The sequence below is a fragment of the Homo sapiens genome, chromosome 1, assembly GCF_000001405.40.
Source record: "Homo sapiens chromosome 1, GRCh38.p14 Primary Assembly".
Taxonomy (NCBI): domain Eukaryota; kingdom Metazoa; phylum Chordata; class Mammalia; order Primates; family Hominidae; genus Homo; species Homo sapiens.
In genome coordinates this window covers 111,413,695-111,433,755 of record NC_000001.11, presented here as the reverse complement: position 1 = coordinate 111,433,755, position 20,061 = coordinate 111,413,695, and the positions used below count along the sequence as shown (strand labels likewise).

General features: G+C 44.0%; 1 protein-coding gene and 1 long non-coding RNA gene across 2 annotated transcripts, besides 1 other annotated feature; one reads left to right on the top strand and one right to left on the bottom strand.

Annotated features, from left to right (window-relative positions):
• Window positions 6,021-19,437, top strand: OVGP1 (oviductal glycoprotein 1). Its single transcript, NM_002557.4, has 11 exons — window positions 6,021-6,059; window positions 6,665-6,694; window positions 7,115-7,319; window positions 8,317-8,373; window positions 10,048-10,213; window positions 10,705-10,829; window positions 12,083-12,191; window positions 12,295-12,480; window positions 14,030-14,146; window positions 17,298-17,433; window positions 18,412-19,437. The coding sequence occupies exons 1-11, from the start codon at window positions 6,035-6,037 to the stop codon at window positions 19,290-19,292; spliced, it is 2,037 nt and encodes a 678-aa protein (NP_002548.3). The 5' UTR covers window positions 6,021-6,034; the 3' UTR covers window positions 19,293-19,437.
• LOC124904309 (uncharacterized) lies at window positions 14,028-18,944 on the bottom strand. The gene is made up of 2 exons (XR_007066387.1): window positions 18,854-18,944; window positions 14,028-18,784 (listed from the first exon to the last, which is right to left on the bottom strand). It is a non-coding gene; the product is annotated as an uncharacterized LOC124904309 (long non-coding RNA).
• Window positions 17,768-18,269: an enhancer, noted in NCBI's record as "NANOG hESC enhancer chr1:111958109-111958610 (GRCh37/hg19 assembly coordinates)". NCBI's record gives its function as "activates a minimal SCP1, AML or CMV promoter by ChIP-STARR-seq in naive and primed H9 embryonic stem cells {active_cell/tissue: H9 hESC(naive and primed)}" and the evidence as "EXISTENCE:reporter gene assay evidence [ECO:0000049][PMID:30033119]".

The following is a 20,061-nucleotide window of genomic DNA, read 5'->3' as shown; positions in this document are numbered from 1 at the left end:
GACAGAATCTTGCCGTCACCCAGGCTGGAATGCAGTGGCACAATCACAGCTCACTGCAGCCTTGAACTGCTGGGCTCAAGTGATTCTCCCACCTCAGCCTCCCAAATAGTTGGGACCACAGACATGCCAACATACCCAGCTAATTTTTTAAAAAACTCTTTGTAGAGACGAAGGTCTCTCTATGTTGTTCAGGCTGATCTTGAACTCCTGGGCTCAAGTGGTCCTTCCACCTCGTCCTCCCAAAGTGCTGGGATTACAGGTGTGAGCCCTGCGTCTGGCCCATGACTATCATTTCTTTCTTATGGGGTTTATTGTGGTCACTGCCTAGCTTGTATCTGATTGATCAGGGAACTGATTCCCTTGCATCTATTCCTACCATTATCTCCAGCATACAGAGGACAGCCACCATAGAGCTGCACCTTTTTGAATTGGGAATCAGTCATCATGAGCAAAGGCACAGCACTGGGAAGGTGGGAAAAGATAAACTCAAGATGGTTTGGCACCCTGCCCCCTTCCTGCCATCCAGTGGGTCTCTGCTCCATTCCTTCTTTTACTTGTCTATAAGCATCTTCCTAGAATATCCTTTTGATTGTTTCCCTTTCCTGCCCAGATACCTTCCATGGTAAAGAAGTTTCTAAACCATGTTCTTCCCAAACAGTACATCCTGCATGTTTTCTTAATCATACTTATACAAAATATAAGTAAATAGGAAAAAGTAACTATAGTAACAGTTGCTATTGGAATTCCTCTTTGGATTTATTAGAGAAAGTACCCTAATATCTGCCTTGGGTATAGATAGTGAAAGCCCAAGCATTTTGGGTCTGGTTAGAACTAAACTGTAGCAAACAAGGGAGGAGTTTTTCAGGGACTCTGGAATGGGAGAGAACACTGGGATAACTGAGAGGAGCCAGGAGTTGGTGAAGTCTTTGCATTAGGGGATGTGACACTTCACAGGCACCCCTCTCCCCTATGTTTTTACTAAAAACTACCAAGAACTTGATGTGTAAGGATTTCTTATAGAGGCCAGTAAAAAGGTTAAGTCATGCAACAGGAAGCTTTGCAGAAAAACAGTCTATACCCAAGGATGCAGGAGCACAGAAGTAGAGAACATAAGGAGGAATTCTTGAGAATTTGCTGGATTATCGGGGACACTTCGGGCTGACACAGGGAGTGGGGCTGGGATTATAGGCAGAGTGTAATCAGACCACTGAGGGGCAGAGAGTCTCTAACATCTAAGTTACATACTTATATTTTAAATTTTTGTGATTTTAGTTTTTGCTTGCTCCATTAGAGTAGAAAATAAGTATTTGTTGAATAAGTTAGAAAAATGAATGAATGAATGAATTGCTTTCAGGACTATGCCACAGAATGTTAGAGTAGGAAAGGACCTTAAGGATCTATTAGTTAAACCTGTTGAGCAATTAGTTCAATGTTGTTAGGTATTGATCTCACTCCAAAGATAATAACCATTAGCAGCAATAACAACAGTCACTGCTATGAGTGCCTACCATGAATCAGACAGTTTACATTTATAATCTCTATTTTTTTAAACCTTTCAAGAAAAGTGTCATTATTGCTACTTTTCAAATATGTTGTCCAAAGTTTCTCAATTAGTAACCCAAATCTGCCTGTTTCTAAGCCGGGGTGTGCCCACCTTTTTGGCTATGCTTTTTCTCAGGTCATTCCAAAGACAGACCATTTAACCACTGGATCTGGGGCAACAAAGGTGGATCAATCGTGAATCCTTCACTAAAAAGCTTGCTTTGTAATAGATGAAACAGTTTAATTTTTAAATCTAGTGTTATAAGGGTTTAAGTAGTAGCACACTGTCAAACTTCTGTTGGAATGAAAAGAATAAGAACTGACGACCACAAAAAAGCAATTCTGCTTAAACCAGTGTCTCTCACCCTTGGCACTATTAAATTATCAGTACAGGCGGTCCGTGACTTCTGATGGTTCAACCTACGATTTTTCAACTCTACAACAGTGCAAAAACAAAAACAAAAAACAAAACAACAACAACAAAAAAAGTGTTGTCAGTTTGTTCATCGACTTATGATGGAGTTACATCCTGATAAAATAGTGGTTAGTTGAAAACATTAATATTTTTTATTTTACTTTAAGTTCTGGGATATATGTACAGAACATGCAGGTATGATGCATAGATATACATGTGCCATGGTGGTTTGCTGCACCTGTCAACCTGTCATCTAGGTTTTAAGCCCCACATGCATTAGGTATTTGTCCTAATGCTCTCCCTCCCCTTGCCCCCAACCCGCCGACAGGCCCCAGTTTGTGATGTTCCCCTCCCTGTGTCCATGGGTTCTCATAAACATTAATATTTTCAACTTACAATGGGTTTATCGAGATGTAATCCCATCATAAGTCAAGGACCCTCTGCACTGAATATACTTCATTGTGGAGGGCTGTCTTGTGCATCAAAGGAGGGTTAGCAGCATCCCTGGCTTCTACCCATTAGGTGCTGTGGCATACCTTCTTCCACTGTTGTGACAACCAAAGTGTCTCCAGACATTGCTAGATCGGGCAAAATTGTGCCCAGTTGAGAATCACTGGCTTAAAAGGAAAAAGGCCATTGCATGGATGTGCAATAACACCTTTAGCCATTTCCTAATGATGTCATTTAATCAGTTAGGATTTTTGTTTTGTTTTTAGTATTTTGCTGTTACAAATAAAGCTGCAATGAACATTGTTTCTTTGCGTACTTGGGCATGATACATTTCTAAAAGTGAAATTGCTAGGTTACAAGATTTTATATTTAGGATTGCGATATTGGCTATATGACCTGTAAAGACATTAAACAAATAGCACTACCTTTACTATTTTATTACAAATATTCTTTTTTGAATTTCCTCAATTTTTAAACTTAAATAAGATCCATGAAAGTATGGGATTATATGATAATATTCATTTTCCTACTATACATTAAAATAAACACATTAAATATTTTTAAAAATCCCTCATGCACAACCAAAAATCATCTTTTACACCAAATATTGGAACACTCCCTTCACTTTAAAGATGTGGTAACTGACTAGAAAAGAGTCTTCCCTTCAAGTTTACAGTGATCTGTAGTCAATATTCTTTGGATTTTTTTTTAATTATTCAACCAACTGATTTTGTTTAAGTCATACTTCTCTAATTCATTCACATGGGTATCATGAAATATTTCGCCAAATGCTCTGTTAAAACGAAAGCACTTCACGTCTTTGATCTTGCCTTCATCTTGATAATTGTTGTAAAATGTGAGAGGTGTCACACTGCTGCAGGGATTTCTTCAGTTACTCAGTAAAGGACATTTGCAAATGGTCATTTCTAACTCCATGAGAACAGGCTAAGCACTAGGGAGGGATATTGTGTAAGTATCTGGGTGGTTGGGTAAAAATAAAAAGCAATGGTTGTAATTTTTTTTTGACAGCAAGAACTGAAGGAAAAGGATTGAGAACACACAGAGCGACACGACACACTGATTTTCAACATAATCCCCATTCAGCATTTTACTATTCATCATCTCTGAACATATAGGGGCATAGTTGCCAGCTCTTTGGCACGGTCATCCCTGCATTATGCAGAGGTCATTCCTGGGCATCCATTGTTATATCTTGGCATTCTGAGCATCATCAGTCATTTTTGCAAGGAACAGAGGGGTCAGGTCTGAGATCTAGCCATGCTCAATGCAGCAGAATAGGAATCCAGAGGATGACTCAAGTGCAGATGAATTAAGTTCAAATTGGCAGGCCAATTTGGCTTCTGTGTTAGGTACAGCATTAGCAGCTAGTGCCCCTATTAGGAGTTTCGGTGGAAGGTCACAGCCTAGTGGGCAATCTCAGTGATGTGAAATCTTGAGGGGCAGGGGATACTGTGGGAGGAGGCTCAGAAGTGGAGGAAAGTAGGCATTCCACATCAAAGAGGTCTTAAAAGACAGGAGGCCTTTAGGCTGTAGGATATGAGGAACCTAGCAAGACAGAGTCAGAAGACCCAGGCCCTAGGACCCAACTGTGGTGCCAGCAGTTTGTAGAACAGGAAGAGAAGTCAAAGCAGGGACCAGACCCAGTTACAAGAATGAGGGCACAAGGGCTAGGAATGGGGGAACAAGAGCATGGTTGTTGTAGCCAGAAAACGTACCAGGGGTAGTCTAACCAATGGTACAAGTTGTTGCCAAGCATGATCCAGTGTTGGTCTCAGGAGGCCTAATTATCTCCTAATTCAGGTTAATATTAGTCCAAGGAATGGATGGTGGCATTGAGCATGCAAGTGGGACCCAAGTTGCCTCAGTGATGGTACAGAGTGGGAATTGAATCTGAAATCATTTTGGCAACAAAACTCATGTTTTCCTCACTGCACTCATCATGCTACTTCTCCAAGAAAGAGACACATACCCTAGCTCTAGGGATACGATCAATCTGTTCACTAAATCATAAGCTCCTTGAAAGCAGAAAATGTTTCAAGTGCCGAGCAGGGCATGGCACATGCTCAGTGATAATTTGTTGAATACATAAAGAAAGGCAAAGATGGATGAAGAAAAGGAGACATAGTCTGGGTTGGGTGGGGTATTCCATCAGGCTTTCCCAGAGTTTCAGTGAAATACTCCAAACATTCTATACAATTTGTTGCTTTTATTCCATCATATCCAAGCAAACTGCTGATTTAAAACAATGACTCCTGGTTTCTTCATACTGGAAATGAAGGATAGATGTTATATGAATTTGACCACTAGTCATTATTTCCCTGTGTCGTGGATTATATTGACATCTGGTTAATACCTCGTGAGTAGTTCATGTGGATTAGATGAGCAGCATCAGTCTCTGTGAAGGTGGGCATAAGGTCCAAGACCCTCTGTAGCAGAGAAAGAAAACTGATGAATCATAAAAGCATCTGGCTTGCAGTCTGGTAATAAAAACGGTATATATATATATATATATATATATATATATATATATATATATATTTTATCTTTCATACTCCTGTTGTTGCATTTTTAAAAAACTGGCTCTTAGATGTCCAGAATTGTATCCATCATATTCTTGAGGTTCATGACACATCCTCACAATTGGCTCATATACTGACTCAAATATTGTTGACTCATAAAAATTCAGGTTTTGCCTTCTCCTGAGAAACTGAAGGATCCAGCAACACTGGGTCTGTTTCCCTGCAGGGAAACCATTAGCAGCTGCTCAGAGTGCTGTCCCTCTTTATACTGATCTCTGTTGTCTCCTGACCAAGAGGCTTCATGTCAGTTGATGTACATCATTGGGCATGAACTGTTACTTTTCTAATAAAATAGAGATAGCTGTTTTATTGCATCTACACCATCCATTTACATTACCTGCCTGGCAAGCGTCATCTGAGTTTGAGAACTCTGCTCTGCTGGGCAACCCTTTTGACATCCCTAATAATAGCTACCATTCACTGAGCCCTTATTATATGCGAGCACGAAACTAACAATTTTTGACCCATTATCTCTTTGATCTCTATAAAGCTCTATGAGGTAAGTCTGAGCTGTCATCTCCATTTTACAAGCATGGAAACTGACCTCACAGAGGCAGGTAATTTGTGCAAGATTACAAAACTTCTAAGTGGTGACACTGAGATTCAAACTTTGAATTCAAACCTTGGATTCAAAGCCTAAATCCAAAGCTATGGTTTAAACTTTTTTTAAAAATTACGCTGCTTCCCAGCCAATAATCTTTTAATAATAGAATTGCTGCTACCATATGGGGTTTCTCCCCCATATTCAGTCCCTGTGGTACTGAATACCAGGAAGACCCTCTTCCTGGTATTCAGTGCCAACCTGGTGCTGTTGCTTTGTTGGAGAGGGAGGCCAGGTCGTTCTGGGGTCACTGTGACTCTCATAAATTACTGATCCTGGCACTGGGGTGTGTGTGTGTGTGTGTGTGTGTGTGTGTGTGTGTGTGTGTGTGTGTGTGTATGTGTAGCTGGGCTGTCCCAGCGCTATCCACAGGGAAGCTCCTATAAAGGGCTGCATCTCTGGACTCACAGCTATCAGACCATTGAGATGTGGAAGCTGTTGCTGTGGGTTGGTGAGTGTGGCAGGTCCCAGCAGTGTCACTCAGTCCAGGAAGTGCCAGGCTTTATGAGTTCGTCATCTCTCTGGTGCCTGAGAGAGCAGCCTGAGACTCAGGGAAGCCTAGATTAGGTAGAGATGGGATGGGCCATAGTTAATGGTCAGAGGTCAGAGGGACCCAGGGAGAAGTGGTCAGAGCAGTGGTTCTCAAACCTGGTGGCCCATTAGAAATTTTAAATGCCTGAGTTCCACCTTGGACCAGTTCTGTTAGAATCTCTGCATGACCAGCCAGGATATCAGTACTTCTTAATTTGCAGCCAGGGTTCAGAACCACTGGCCTCGAGCTTTTTCTGGGACTTCTAACACTTGTCATTGTCCCTGGGCAAAGCATGAGCATATACACATGTTTATCAAAAAGAAAAGGAACTTATATCTAGCTCCACTGGTCCAACTTTAGAAACTAGGAAACGAGTAAATGGTGTGTGTGTCCCCATTTGTGTGTCTGCATCTGCATAAGGTGGTGTGTTGGTGGGCACCCTTGCTAATCAGAGGGTGTGCTGTGCCATACCACTCTGGTGAGGGTATGAATCTCTGTGTGACTCCTTCCTTTGTTTCTCACAGGGCTGGTTCTTGTGCTGAAACACCACGATGGTAAGGAAACTGTGTTTTCCCTTCCAGAGCCAGGGAGAGTCTCTGGCTGAGAAGTCCTCCACATTGAGTGTCCCCTGCAGCCCACCTTGCCCTGGCTTCTCTGACAGGGATTATTGATCCAACACAGTTTCTCAGAGGATTTTTGGTCACCTGCTGTTTGTGTCGCTGACTGTGTGCCTTGGTCCAGACTTGAGAATCTGTTCTGACCAGGATTTCACAAGGCATTGTTTTCTTCCTGAGACCTCAGCAGTGGGGGAGGAATAGAACCTCAGTGTAGTTCTGAGGTGTACTTCAGGGCCAGGGAGAGAGGATGTGAAAATGTGGCCTGGTCTCTTGGGCTGCGTTCACATTGCTTTCTGGAAGCTGAGCTCCATCCCCTCCCTTGGTTTTTGCCAACTAATGTGTGCTCTCCCTTACCAGGTGCTGCCCATAAACTCGTGTGTTATTTCACCAACTGGGCACACAGTCGGCCAGGCCCTGCCTCGATCTTGCCCCATGACCTGGACCCCTTTCTCTGCACCCACCTGATATTTGCCTTTGCCTCAATGAACAACAATCAGATTGTTGCTAAGGATCTCCAGGATGAGAAAATTCTCTACCCAGAGTTCAACAAACTAAAGGAGAGGTGTGTTCATATTGGATGTGGGGGTTGTATTTTCAGATTTCACAGGTATAAGATAACAGTCTATTTCTCCTGTTACTCTTCAACTTTCTTCTATTTCTTCCAGTCCTACCTTCCTCTCAAATAGGGGTCCAGAGCACCCCCAACTTGAGAACTCCTTGTCACAGACACCTTGAGCTCTTTCCTGCCTCCTTACTTTTGTAGTTGCTGTTGTCTCTGCCTGGAATGTGCTTCTCTCTCTTCTCTGCCTGGCAAAACCCAACTCAGCCTTTGAACCTAGTTGTGAGGATTTTAGTTATTAATGCTGTTAAAGTGGGCTTACACATCCCAAATGCTCAACAAATGCTCATGTTTTTATTACCGTTTGTTACCGGTGAGCTACTCCAGGGAAGGGGCAGTGTCTGCTGTGTTGTTGTATCCCCAGTGGCTAGGTCAGTGTCTCACACAGGGTTGGTGCTCAGTAAGTGTTTGCTTACATTTTCCTCTCTCCGGAACTCCTGGGATCTCTCTGTGCCCAAAGGAAGGCTTGTTACTGCATTAATGGTTATAGATGGGCAGAGTAAAAGTTCTATGCCACTAGATTATAAACTCCCTGAAAGTGGGGAGCTTATCTGTGTTGTTCTTTGTTCTAAAGTGCCTAAAGCAGTAAATGGCACATAGACATTGCTCAATAAATATTTGTTGAATAGGAAAAAGAGAAACATTTTAGACTGCTCTTTTTTTGGAAGCATCATAGGGACATGCGCGAGTTTGGCAGACTTTGTGCAGCCTTGGAGTTGTTGGGCTGTGATGGCCCTTGGGTTGATTGTTCTCTCTGTCTTTCCTCCTCTCTCCTGTGCTCATCATCTCTCTCCTTCTATCACCTTCCCCCTTTTCCTTTCCTTACCTCCCATCTCTCCTGTTTCCTGTTTTCTTCCAATGAGCAAAATAAAAGAATGTGGCAGCAGCTGCCCACCGGAGTGAAGAACCCAGCTCATCAACCCTCTCTCTCACATCATAGGAACAGAGAGCTGAAAACACTACTGTCCATCGGCGGGTGGAACTTTGGCACCTCAAGGTGAGACTTTGCTGTTATTCTCTTCTCCCTGGGAGGGTGGAGCAGGCTGGTTAGACGTGAAGACAGAGGGGGAAGGCAGCTTGGCCATGCGGACAGCAAAGCTAGCGCAAATACTTCCCCAACTCATGAATCTTAGACCCCTGCACTCAAGGGATATCCTGGCCTCTTCTCCATGGTGGGTCAGGGGAGACAAGGAAGTTCTAGCAGGTGGTGAGAAAGAGGCTGGGGGAAAATTAGGGACAAAATGAGGCACTCATAATTGTTTCCTCAACCTTTCATAAGAGGCAAGGGTTTTGTCTCCAAGGGGAGGAATCAGGTGCAGGATGAGAATAACTCCCAAACCTCACAGGTTTCTTCACTTTATTAGTGGATCCAGGGATATCAACCTCAAAGGGTTGGAACAGAGGAAAGGAAATAACAAAATGCTAAGCTTAGTGCTGGGACATAGTACATGTTCAGTATGTAGCAGCTGCTCTTGTTAGCACTTCAATCTCCATGAGACAACGTGGAGATTACAAACTGCCTTCATATTTTCTGAAGAAACATTTCCCCTATTTCATGGCTGAGGCCTGGGTTAGAGGCCGTACTTGCCTTGTTGCCTTAAAGGCATGAGATACACGAGAGGGAGGCCTGGTGGGCTGGGAGTGTGTGAGGATGCACTTTACAAGATGGAGGAAAGATTCAGGGCAGGGGGGTGAGAACTAGCTCTGCCCAGCCCAGGATTCACCTCTTCCCATCTCTGAACACTCCCTGTGCTCCAGATGCTGGGCTAGGGCTGTACACGCATTATCCCGTGAACACTTGCAGGAAGCTTTACAAAGTGGTTGTATTCAAAATTGGTAGAGCAGAAAGCACAAGTCACAGTTATTAAGGAACTTGCCAGATTTGTCACAGGTATTCCTCAGAGATTGCCCAGCAAGGAGGTGGGAAACTGACCATGGAACCCAGATCTATTTATGAGTCTGGTTAATTTTTTAATCATGGCTCATCTCAGGATTACCCCAGAGTTGCTTAAAGTTCAGGTCCAATAAGTTAGAATTTTTCCAAAGTGTCATCACTACGGAAGAGAAAACAAGTAAAATAGAAAAATATCAAACAAAAAACGAACAAAAGAACACAGGATCAGGATCCCGTTATCAGAACACAGGCCTCTTGTGCCAAGTTATACAGCCCAGGCCCAGATTAACTCATAGATGTTTCTGGACATGCTGGCCCTTGACTCATGTTCTCTCCCCTAATCCAGTCAGGTAGAAAATGTCAGTGCTAGGACAGGTTGTGGGAATTGAGTAGTTACCTATGAGGAGACAGCACAGAGAGGGGCAGTGCCTTGCCAGTGGGCATACCATGTTTTGGGGGCAGAGCTGGACTGAGCCATTTCTCCACACCCCAGGCTGCATGCTTGGTTCTGTGCCTGCTGTTCCCTGTGCCGTCTGGCCTTGGGGCAGTACATGGTTTTCAACTTCTTTTAGCTGCCTGAATTCCCTACTCCTGGGTATTGAGCTCCTGGTGCTGGGAGAGGCATATAAGAAGGTGGGAGAGTTTTGGAAATCTGCCTTCCTTTCCTCCAGCCACATCTGCCAGGCCCACCACAGGGAACCAAGCTTGCAAGGGGCCTTGTAGGAGGTTGTGATTCTGTGGATAGAGTTCTTTGCCTTACCCCTGGTCTCCCTACAGATTCACCACTATGTTGTCCACATTTGCCAACCGTGAAAAGTTTATTGCTTCAGTTATATCCCTTCTGAGGACACATGACTTTGATGGTCTTGACCTTTTCTTCTTATATCCTGGACTAAGAGGCAGCCCCATGCATGACCGGTGGACTTTTCTCTTCTTAATTGAAGTAAGTCTGGTCTAGAAGCGCCAGAATCCAGAAATGATTCTACTTTTATATATCTAGGCTTATGGCAGGAGAAGAGCATAAGTCCAGGGCCAGGGGCAGAAGAGGGTGACAGAATGTTCTTTTACTGTGAACCCCTGGAGGGTAATACCTGTAACTCCCTGAGGTTGCTCTTTTCGCTGCACCTGGGGCTTGCTCCAGTCCTCCAGCCTAAGGGATGCCTTCTCTCTGCAGCTCCCTGCACTCCCTTAGGCAGTGTCTGTCTGAATTCTGTGCTTCTGAGCCTGCTTGCCACCCCTCAATTGATTAAATCATTAACCACATCAGCCCTCATCTGCCTGTCTCATGAGCCTGTGGCATGGCCCATGTCCAACTCACCTTCGTGTCCCAGAGCCTGGCTCAGGAGCTCAGTAAATGCTTCCTAGATGACACTCCCCCCAGGCCCCGCCTCTCTGTTTGTCCAGTTCTCTGTGTCTTTCTGTCTTTCCTCTTAGGAGCTCCTGTTTGCCTTCCGGAAGGAGGCACTGCTCACCATGCGCCCGAGGCTGCTGCTGTCTGCTGCTGTTTCTGGGGTCCCACACATCGTCCAAACATCCTATGATGTGCGCTTTCTAGGAAGGTGAGTGGATATTGCTTTGGTGGGGCAGGACATTGGTGGGAAGCAGGTGTCTTGAGCTCAGAACCCCAGAGCTTCCCAAGCACTGTTTTTGAGCTCACCGTGTGCCTGCCCTGACGTCAGTGCAAGTTTGGGGCTGGACTGAGGAGCATGGGTGGGGAGAAGGGCTAGTTCCATTATACCCTGAGGGTTTCTTTAGACCTCAGAGGGAGGTGATGTAATATCTGCCCACAACAATGTTAGCACGGGTAGAGTCTTCTGCACAGCCTATTGCTGGGTCTCACGAGGAGAGATTCCCAGGGGCCTGTCCTCTTTCTACCCAGAGTATATCTGTAGACATACACTATGCAGCGGATGCTGGCATCAGAGACAGATGAATTAATAATCACTGTCACAAAAACAAAAACAGGAATGCCCAGTCACATCCAGTATTCAGAGCAGTTCTTCATGCAAAAGTTAAAAAGCTAGACAAAGAGCAGCACATAAATCTTTTTGGACATGTCATCTCTAGGTATATTTTCTAGAATTTTGAGAATCAAGTATTTACAGAAGAGGAAACTGAGGCAGATGCAGACCAAAACAGAAATGGGATGTTCCTGTGTATGAGTGTGCTAGAGAATTGTTTCAATGTGGGAGGAGGGTGAGAGACACAGGGGACATGGAGTGTGTTAGTGTTGATCTTTTAGCCAGACAGGATTGAGAGAGTCCTGCCTTCACCCAACTGGGCAACATTAGGCAAATTAGTTAACCTATCTGAGTTTCAATTTCTTCAACTTTAAAATGGAGATAGTTACACTACTTAGGGAATTAGCCAGATTAAAATTAAATTAGATAATCAGTGTAAACCCTTATCCCTGTGACCTGGTAATGATGAACGCTTTCTAGAGGAGGTGGGTTTCAATGGCTCCTGGAATTGTAGAAAGACAAGCTATGGAACAGACTGCTTTTACTCATGACCATTTGTGCAGATGCCTGTTAGCATTTATATCAGGCCTGAGTGTATTTTCTCTCATCTAACTCCTGCCTACCTCCACAGGTACTCTCAGGATGCATAGCTCCTCATATACAGCTGTTCCTAACCAGCTGTTTGTTCCAGTGGCAGGTGGATAGCACAGCCTGGGCAGGCCCCACAGGCAGAAGGAGCAGGGAAGCTCTGGTGACCAATGTCTAGCTAGTTAGCTAGACAGTGCTGTGATGCTCTGACTTGAAAATCTGGCTAGCCCAGTCTTTATATCTCTTCCTCCTGCCCCTTACAGACTCCTGGATTTCATCAATGTCTTGTCTTATGACTTACATGGAAGTTGGGAAAGGTTCACAGGACATAATAGCCCCCTCTTCTCTCTGCCTGAAGACCCCAAATCTTCGGTAAGGAAAGGAAAGATCTCAGGTGGTCCAGACATCTGCCCCCCTGAGCTCAGGCCATTGGCTCTTAGTAACAAGGAGGAGTCTGGATTCTTCTTACCTGCAGGCATATGCTATGAATTATTGGAGAAAGCTTGGGGCACCCTCAGAGAAGCTCATCATGGGGATCCCCACCTATGGACGTACCTTTCGCCTCCTCAAAGCCTCTAAGAATGGGTTGCAGGCCAGAGCGATCGGACCAGCATCTCCAGGGAAGTACACCAAGCAAGAAGGCTTCTTGGCTTATTTTGAGGTGATGGGAATATCAGTCTCTGTCTAGCAGTTAGGACTCTCCCACCCCCAGCTGGAGCAAAGGCCAGGACAAGGGGCAATGGCAAGGGTGAGAGCTGTAGACAGGGCAAAGAGGTGGTCTATTAGTACAAGAGAAACCCACTCTCTGGGATATTTTCTTTTTCTTTGAGGTAAGTTATTTGAGTCCTTTGTAAGGGACGAAGGACTTGGTGGAATCTGGATGGAAGGGTTTCATTGCACCCCAAAAATGATCTTATATGCTATACAGGTAAACCCTGACTTTCTGTATGGCCTAAATAAAAATCATTAATATTTGCAATATATATAATTTCAAACATATGCAAAATTAAAAGAATAGTATAGCCTCTGTACCTCCCCCACATACTACTCACTCAGCTTCAATCATTAATAATTCATGGCCAATTTTGTCTCATCTCTGCTGGCTCCCTCCCTCCCTACTACTAGATGATTTTGAAGCAATTCCAAGACATTATCTACTACAGGTTCTTTCTCTCCACTCCAGCTCTACCCTCTTCATCTTCGTCTCAACCAAGCTTGCTATTGGGTGGCGGAAAGAGACATGTTTCCAAGGGAATGTAACCACCAGAGGTGGCAATACGAGCCACATAACTGTGTGGCTGTAGTGACCTGGAAAGGTCTTATGGAGCAGGTAGAGTTTGAGCAGAGTTTGAAGCACAGGAAAATCCTGATGGACAGGAATGACTAGACGGGAAGGACTTCCCAGGTAGAGGACAGCAGGTACAGAGGGACAGGGTGAGTACTTTAGGCAGTAGTGGAGGTGCTGCAAGTCTCTCCAATCTCTGCTCTGCGCTGGATGGATGAGGGTGTTTTTCTAACCCAATGAAGCATTTTTATGAGTGCTGGCATAGTTGAAACAATGTTCTTGAAGGGCAAAGAAGCTTTGATAGACAGACCCTTTGAAGCACCAAAGGAGAAAAGGAATGGCTTAGACATTAACTTCTGCAGCACAGCTTGCGTACCTCTACTTTTTTGCAGCATATAGTTTTTAGCACAATGCTGGGCACTCAGTGGACACTCAAATGCTTAATTATTTATAGCAACCTAGTTCTCCCTGCCTTCAAGAACTTTAAATCTACTAGAAGTTCAGGTGCTAGTTTGAGAACCACCTATATGGGGCAGTCTGTGCTGGGATCTAATGAACAGGAGAGACTTGTTTATGAAAACACTTTGAATGAGATACAGATTTGGTCAAGGATCATGTATGTTACTCTTACTATTTTGGTACTGGCATTATACCCCTGGCTTGGTTTCTTAAGGATGTCATCCACTCTTTGGTTCCCTTTTTTCCATCATGGACAGTAGAGAGAGGAAAGGGTAACAGTAGGAATTTATTCAAAATAGAGAGGAACTCATTTGTGAGTGGCCTCTCCATTCTCTCTTTGGTTTACCTTCTTCTCATTCGCTGGTTAGGGATTCTTGGATTCTTTATCCTTGGGCAAGGAACAACTGTCTCTTGGTGCTTATCTCCATGGCACTTCCCAGAACTAACCTGGTGGTCCTCTTGGCAGATTTGTTCCTTTGTCTGGGGAGCGAAGAAGCACTGGATTGATTACCAGTATGTCCCGTATGCCAACAAGGGGAAAGAGTGGGTTGGCTATGACAATGCCATCAGCTTCAGTTACAAGGTGAGACCCTGGCTCTTTCATGCTCCAGCACATGGTTTCCTACCGGTTTCTATGGGGTCCTTATTTGTACAATGCATGTATGTGTATTGGGTGGAGAGTGAAAGGTGAGGATGATTAGACCAGGGGTTTCAGGCATGCCTACATTTTAGTTCTAACTGGGGCTTTATAATCCCATCTGTTCCAAGTCTCTATTCTGAAGAGAAAGAATCTAGGTTCTGAGGGAATAAATAGTTCCCTCAGTTCTTACAGCTTTTCGATGATCTTTTTGGTCTCTTCCTTTCCATTTGGACCAGCTAATTTCATAACAGATAAATACCAACACAAAGTAGATCATGGTAAGTGCTCTGTAAATATTACTGACATGTAGCAGAAATGAGGAAGTCTGGGAGGGCTTCCTGAGGGAGGTGAGCAGGAGTAGGAGAAGATTATGACATTGGGGAAAGGCTCAGTGGTGTAGAAAGCTTATAGCAGGTTCAAAGAAGAATTTGGGTGAAGCAGAGGCTTTTTATAAAGGGACTTGAATGCTGGTAAAGGTGTTCAGTCTTCATCCTGTGGGCATTTTAAGGCAAAAACAGGTTTCTACAGGTGGATGACCTTTAATTTTCAAACTTTTAGAGCCAAACTATGACCACCACCCTCCCTTCATGTAAGTGGTATTTTATGAAGTTGAATCTGGCAGGTTTTTATAGTGAACTAAAAGAGAACTGACATGCTCCAGTAGTTCCTAAACCTGCCTCTGTTTTGGAATCACCTGAGAGACTGGATACATGTAGAAATCATGGTTCCACTCCTCAATATTCAGTAGGTCTTAGAAAAACTTTGGAAACTATTTTAGAATGCCTCCATATATGATCCTTCCAAATGCTAAGTTGGCATTTTGGGAGCTCTGGGCGTGGACACAGAGGTGTCCAAGCATGAGATAATGAGGGTCTGGACTAGGGTAGTTGGAAGGAGCAGCAGTTTAAAGGTGAGAAATTGTCGGAATGTGGCAACTGCTTGGATATTGAGACTTAAATAGAGAGAATTCACAGTTCTCCTGTTAACGGTGATGCAGAAATGGCAGGTGTCGGCTGTTTTTTGGGGGAAGTTTGTGTGGGAAGCACCAGAGAGGAAGGCACTCATGAAGATTCACTGCGTAGCTCCTCTGTGCATTAACACTGGGTGAGGCCTGCTGGGGCGGAGAGAGATAAAAAAGCATGGCTTCTCCCCTCTGGGATCTTGCTCTGTGGTTTGGGAATGGGAAGACACAAACAGGAAAGATTAATGACTCAATGGATTTACCCAATTGGATGGAGTTAAGTCTATGACCCATAGGACATCAGAGAGGGGATTGATCCCTTGTGTTGGGTGAGGCCCTGGGATGAGCAGCAGAGGGTGGTCTTGCTTTGAGGTGCAGTTACTGTAACTTGCAGAACTAGGTGAGGAGACATGAAGCCAGGTTGGGGATGGTTAAGGGATTTTGACATAGAATATCAGAGCTAAAAGAGACCTTGGGGATTATTGTTGGGAGATAATTATACCCTGGATTTCTCAGAGTTCCTGCACAGTTTGAGGATTCTGGGCAAAGGAAGCAGACAAGCTTTACTAAAAATAGAGAGCTGCTTTCCTCTTTCCCCCAGAGCCATTTGTTTACCTTCAATGATTGTGAAAGTCCCCTTCCCAGGGAGGACTTGTTTACATTCCAGGTTCTCTCCTCTCTCTGGAAGGGAGGAGGGCCACATATGTCAACCATTCTATATAAGCTCTGAGTCTCATAATTTCAGAGTTCTTCTCTGTAGCGCAGACCCCACTGCATATGCAGGTGAATTGAACATCTGACCTTCATCACATTGTCCTTGGGACATGGAAACTGACTCAAGGTGCTATTCTGGCTATTTTGTTTTGTTTTTTTTCTGTGAGTAATAAATATTCTGTCCTCTGATCCAGAGGTCTGGGGTGTTGGGGTATGTGAGTATGTGTGTGTGTGTGCATGTGTGTGTGTGTGTGTATACACACAAAACTGGCAGACTAATTTCTTAGCTTGTAAGTAGCATAAAAGTCTCAGAAACTTCACAGTTTCAGACTTAATGATTGGATTCCTCCTTCCTCTTATTTTACATTTGGGGAAAGTCAACTCCTGAAAGGAGCCAATTGACTTGGCTAAGGCACACAGCTATTTGGACCTGATAGATTCTGTCTTTTCCATCAGACTTGACAGAGAGCACTGGCAAGGTAATAATAAAACCTGGACTTGAATCTAAGCTCTGCCATTTAGTTGTAGTGGAGGTTTTAAAAAGTGTGGATGAAAGCCTTTATTTTCTCATCTGTGAGAAGCATATAATATTTTGTGCTCTACTGTATTTTATAGCATCACGGTGAGATAAGGAAATGAATTTTAAACAGTAGAGCAATATCTACAGTTTAATAGGATAATAATGGTGATTAATGAGGTGGGGAACCCAGAGGGTTAGTAGCTAACTTTTATTGAAGATTCACTATGTGCCAGGTATTGATCCAAATATCTTATGCATGGGAACTCTTTAGGAAAACTTATGTAGCATTCCTATGTAACATAAAACATAAGATTTACCATTTTAACCATTTTAAAGTCTGAAATTCAGTTGCATTAAATACATTCATGTTGTTGTGCAATTATCACCACCATCCATCTCCAGAACTTTTTCATCTTCTCGAATGGAAACCCTGTGCCCATTAAACAGTAACTTCCCCTTCCTCCTTCCCACGTCCCCTGGCAACCACCATTCTATTTTCTGTTTCTGTGAATTTGACTACTCTAGGTACCACACATAAATGGAGTCATACAGTGTTTCTTATTTTGTGCCTGGCTTATTTCACTTAGCATAGTGTCTTCACGCTTCATCCATATCGTATGTAATATGTGCATGTAAGAATCTTTTGGGTCTAAACATGTTGGACATGTTATTATCCTCTTTTTTTTTTTTCACAAATGAGGCAGTTAAGACACATAAGGGTTACATAACTTCTTCAGGATCCCATAGCTAATAAACAGTAAAAGCTAGATTCAAATGCTGGCTACACTCCTAACCACCCAGCTACATTGCTTCCTGAGGGACTATCTTCAGTTTTTTGCCATTGTACCCAGTCTAGAGACTGACAAGTACAGCAGGTTGACTGACTGTTACTTTTACAGGCATGGTTTATAAGGCGAGAGCATTTTGGGGGGGCCATGGTGTGGACATTGGACATGGATGACGTCAGGGGCACGTTCTGTGGCACTGGCCCTTTCCCCCTTGTCTACGTATTGAATGATATCCTGGTGCGGGCTGGTAAGTAGCTGTGACCTAGAAGCTGGGGTTGGAAGTTGCATAACCAAGCACTGGGTAAGGCCCTTCTGCTAGATCTAAATGCCTTGGTGAGGCAACATGACATTGAGGGGAGAGAAAAAGCTTTGCCAGGCCAATATGTTTTCCAGTCTTTGTTGGGATACTTGGCCCTTATTTGACCTCTTTGAGCTTCCTTTGTTCTATTTAAAATGGGAATAATCTGTATACTCATGACATTATTATAAGAACTAAGTGAGCTATGGAATGAAAATTCTCATAGTTAGCACTCAATATATGTTATTTATTTCTCTCTTTCTCTTACTCTCATGGGCAAGGGCTGAGGGAATTAGGTTTCTTTTGATATCTCTTTTTGATAGTAGAGGCTACCCTGGCAATTAGGAAATGGAAGCTAGCATGCAAGAGGTGAAGCATCCTTACGGATGGTTTATAATCTTCATTTTATGGGTAATGCGACTGGAGCTCAGTCAGGTCAAGTCTTTAGGTGGGCCCCAGTCCCATTGTTCACAGCATGCTGTCCCTAGCCTCCTTGCCTCTGGCTTTGTTCCTGGTGCCTCCTACAACATAGAGACATAAGAAGCTTCTCCTTGAGCATTCATCAAGTAATTATTTAGAATTAGGCCTCGAGGCAAGGTTTTGCTGATGATGCAATCAGAGATGTCAAAGTGAGGGCTTAAGCACAAGGAATGGGTGGGCTCCTTTCTGAGGTCATTCATGGAAAATGTAGCAAATCCACTGAGTGCCTGTGGGTGTCTGGGACCTGTGAACATGGCGGGGTCTGGAGCAAGGCTTCTATGTGGTGGGATTTCATCTATGTCCTCAAGTAGGTATAGTATGAAATCTTACACTTCTGAATTTTTGGAGCAGGTACTTCAGCCCTGGATTGGTTCTAGTTCTGCCAGTAATTAATAGGATGAGAATGAAGTGGTAGGAATCTCATTCTTTTCTGTTGATTTTCTCTAGAGTTCAGTTCAACTTCTTTACCACAATTTTGGCTGTCATCTGCTGTGAATTCTTCAAGCACTGACCCTGAAAGGCTGGCTGTGACCACGGCATGGACCACTGATAGTAAGATTTTGCCCCCAGGAGGAGAGGCTGGGGTCACTGAGATCCACGGAAAGTGTGAAAATATGACTATAACCCCTAGAGGTACAACTGTGACCCCTACAAAGGAAACTGTATCCCTTGGAAAGCACACTGTAGCTCTAGGAGAGAAGACTGAGATCACTGGGGCAATGACCATGACTTCTGTGGGTCATCAGTCCATGACCCCTGGAGAGAAGGCCCTGACCCCTGTGGGTCATCAATCTGTGACCACTGGACAGAAGACCCTGACCTCTGTGGGTTATCAGTCTGTGACCCCTGGGGAAAAGACCCTGACCCCTGTGGGTCATCAGTCTGTGACCCCTGTGAGTCATCAGTCTGTGAGCCCTGGAGGAACGACTATGACCCCTGTCCATTTTCAGACTGAGACCCTTAGACAGAATACAGTGGCCCCTAGAAGGAAGGCTGTGGCCCGTGAAAAGGTGACTGTCCCCTCCAGAAACATATCAGTCACCCCTGAAGGGCAGACTATGCCTTTAAGAGGGGAGAATTTGACTTCTGAGGTGGGCACTCACCCCAGGATGGGTAACTTGGGTCTTCAGATGGAAGCTGAAAACAGGATGATGCTGTCCTCCAGCCCCGTCATCCAGCTCCCGGAACAAACTCCTCTAGCTTTTGACAACCGCTTTGTTCCCATCTATGGAAACCATTCCTCTGTCAACTCAGTAACCCCTCAAACAAGTCCTCTTTCTCTAAAAAAAGAAATCCCAGAAAACTCTGCTGTGGATGAAGAAGCCTAAGCCCCTCTGGTGTCAGAAACCAGGGAAAACCCTTGTCTTTTCTTCTAAGTGACATGTTGGAAGCCTTCTCATCCCGGGGCAAAGCAGGCATCAAAACCAGAATAGGCCAATCTCTTTTCCATTAAATAAACTGTAAACACAAGAACCCACCGAGTTCTCTGAGATTCTTTTCTTGAATTGAACTCTGCAACTCAGTTGTCAGCTTCTTCCTTTCAAGGTCATTTTCCCCACTGCTATTTTTGGAAAGAGGGAGTTTGTGTCTAGTCTACAATGATGCTATCCTGTGTGGATTATGTGCTTCCTTCTTTGCTGTGAGCAACTGCTCACTTCACTGTTGGTTGGAGCCAGAATCTCTTCTAGAACAGTTTCCACCATCCTCAAGGGGAGCTGAGATGGGGAGGGGGAAGTTGAGTCTTCCAATTACATTCTCTCCTTGGTAAAATCCTTGTTTTCCCTGAAAAAACAACCCCATCTATTCTCTCCTCAAGAAGTGTTTGAGGAAAAGGTATAAAAAAGGTACTTTAAAAATTATTTTCTTATAGTATTACCTTCACACTTCTGCTAGGTCTCCTCTAGAAACACCAGTTCTCACACATTAAAACTTTAATCCACTCAGGGAACATTTTCCTAGGCATGACTGTCCCTCATAAGTTGCTATAGACACCAGATCAATTTCTAGCCCTCCAATTCTAGGAGCTAGTGCTACACAGAGTGGGTGCCATACCTATTATTATGTTACTTTTTCTTTTGGAAGTGTAGCCTCCAAGTC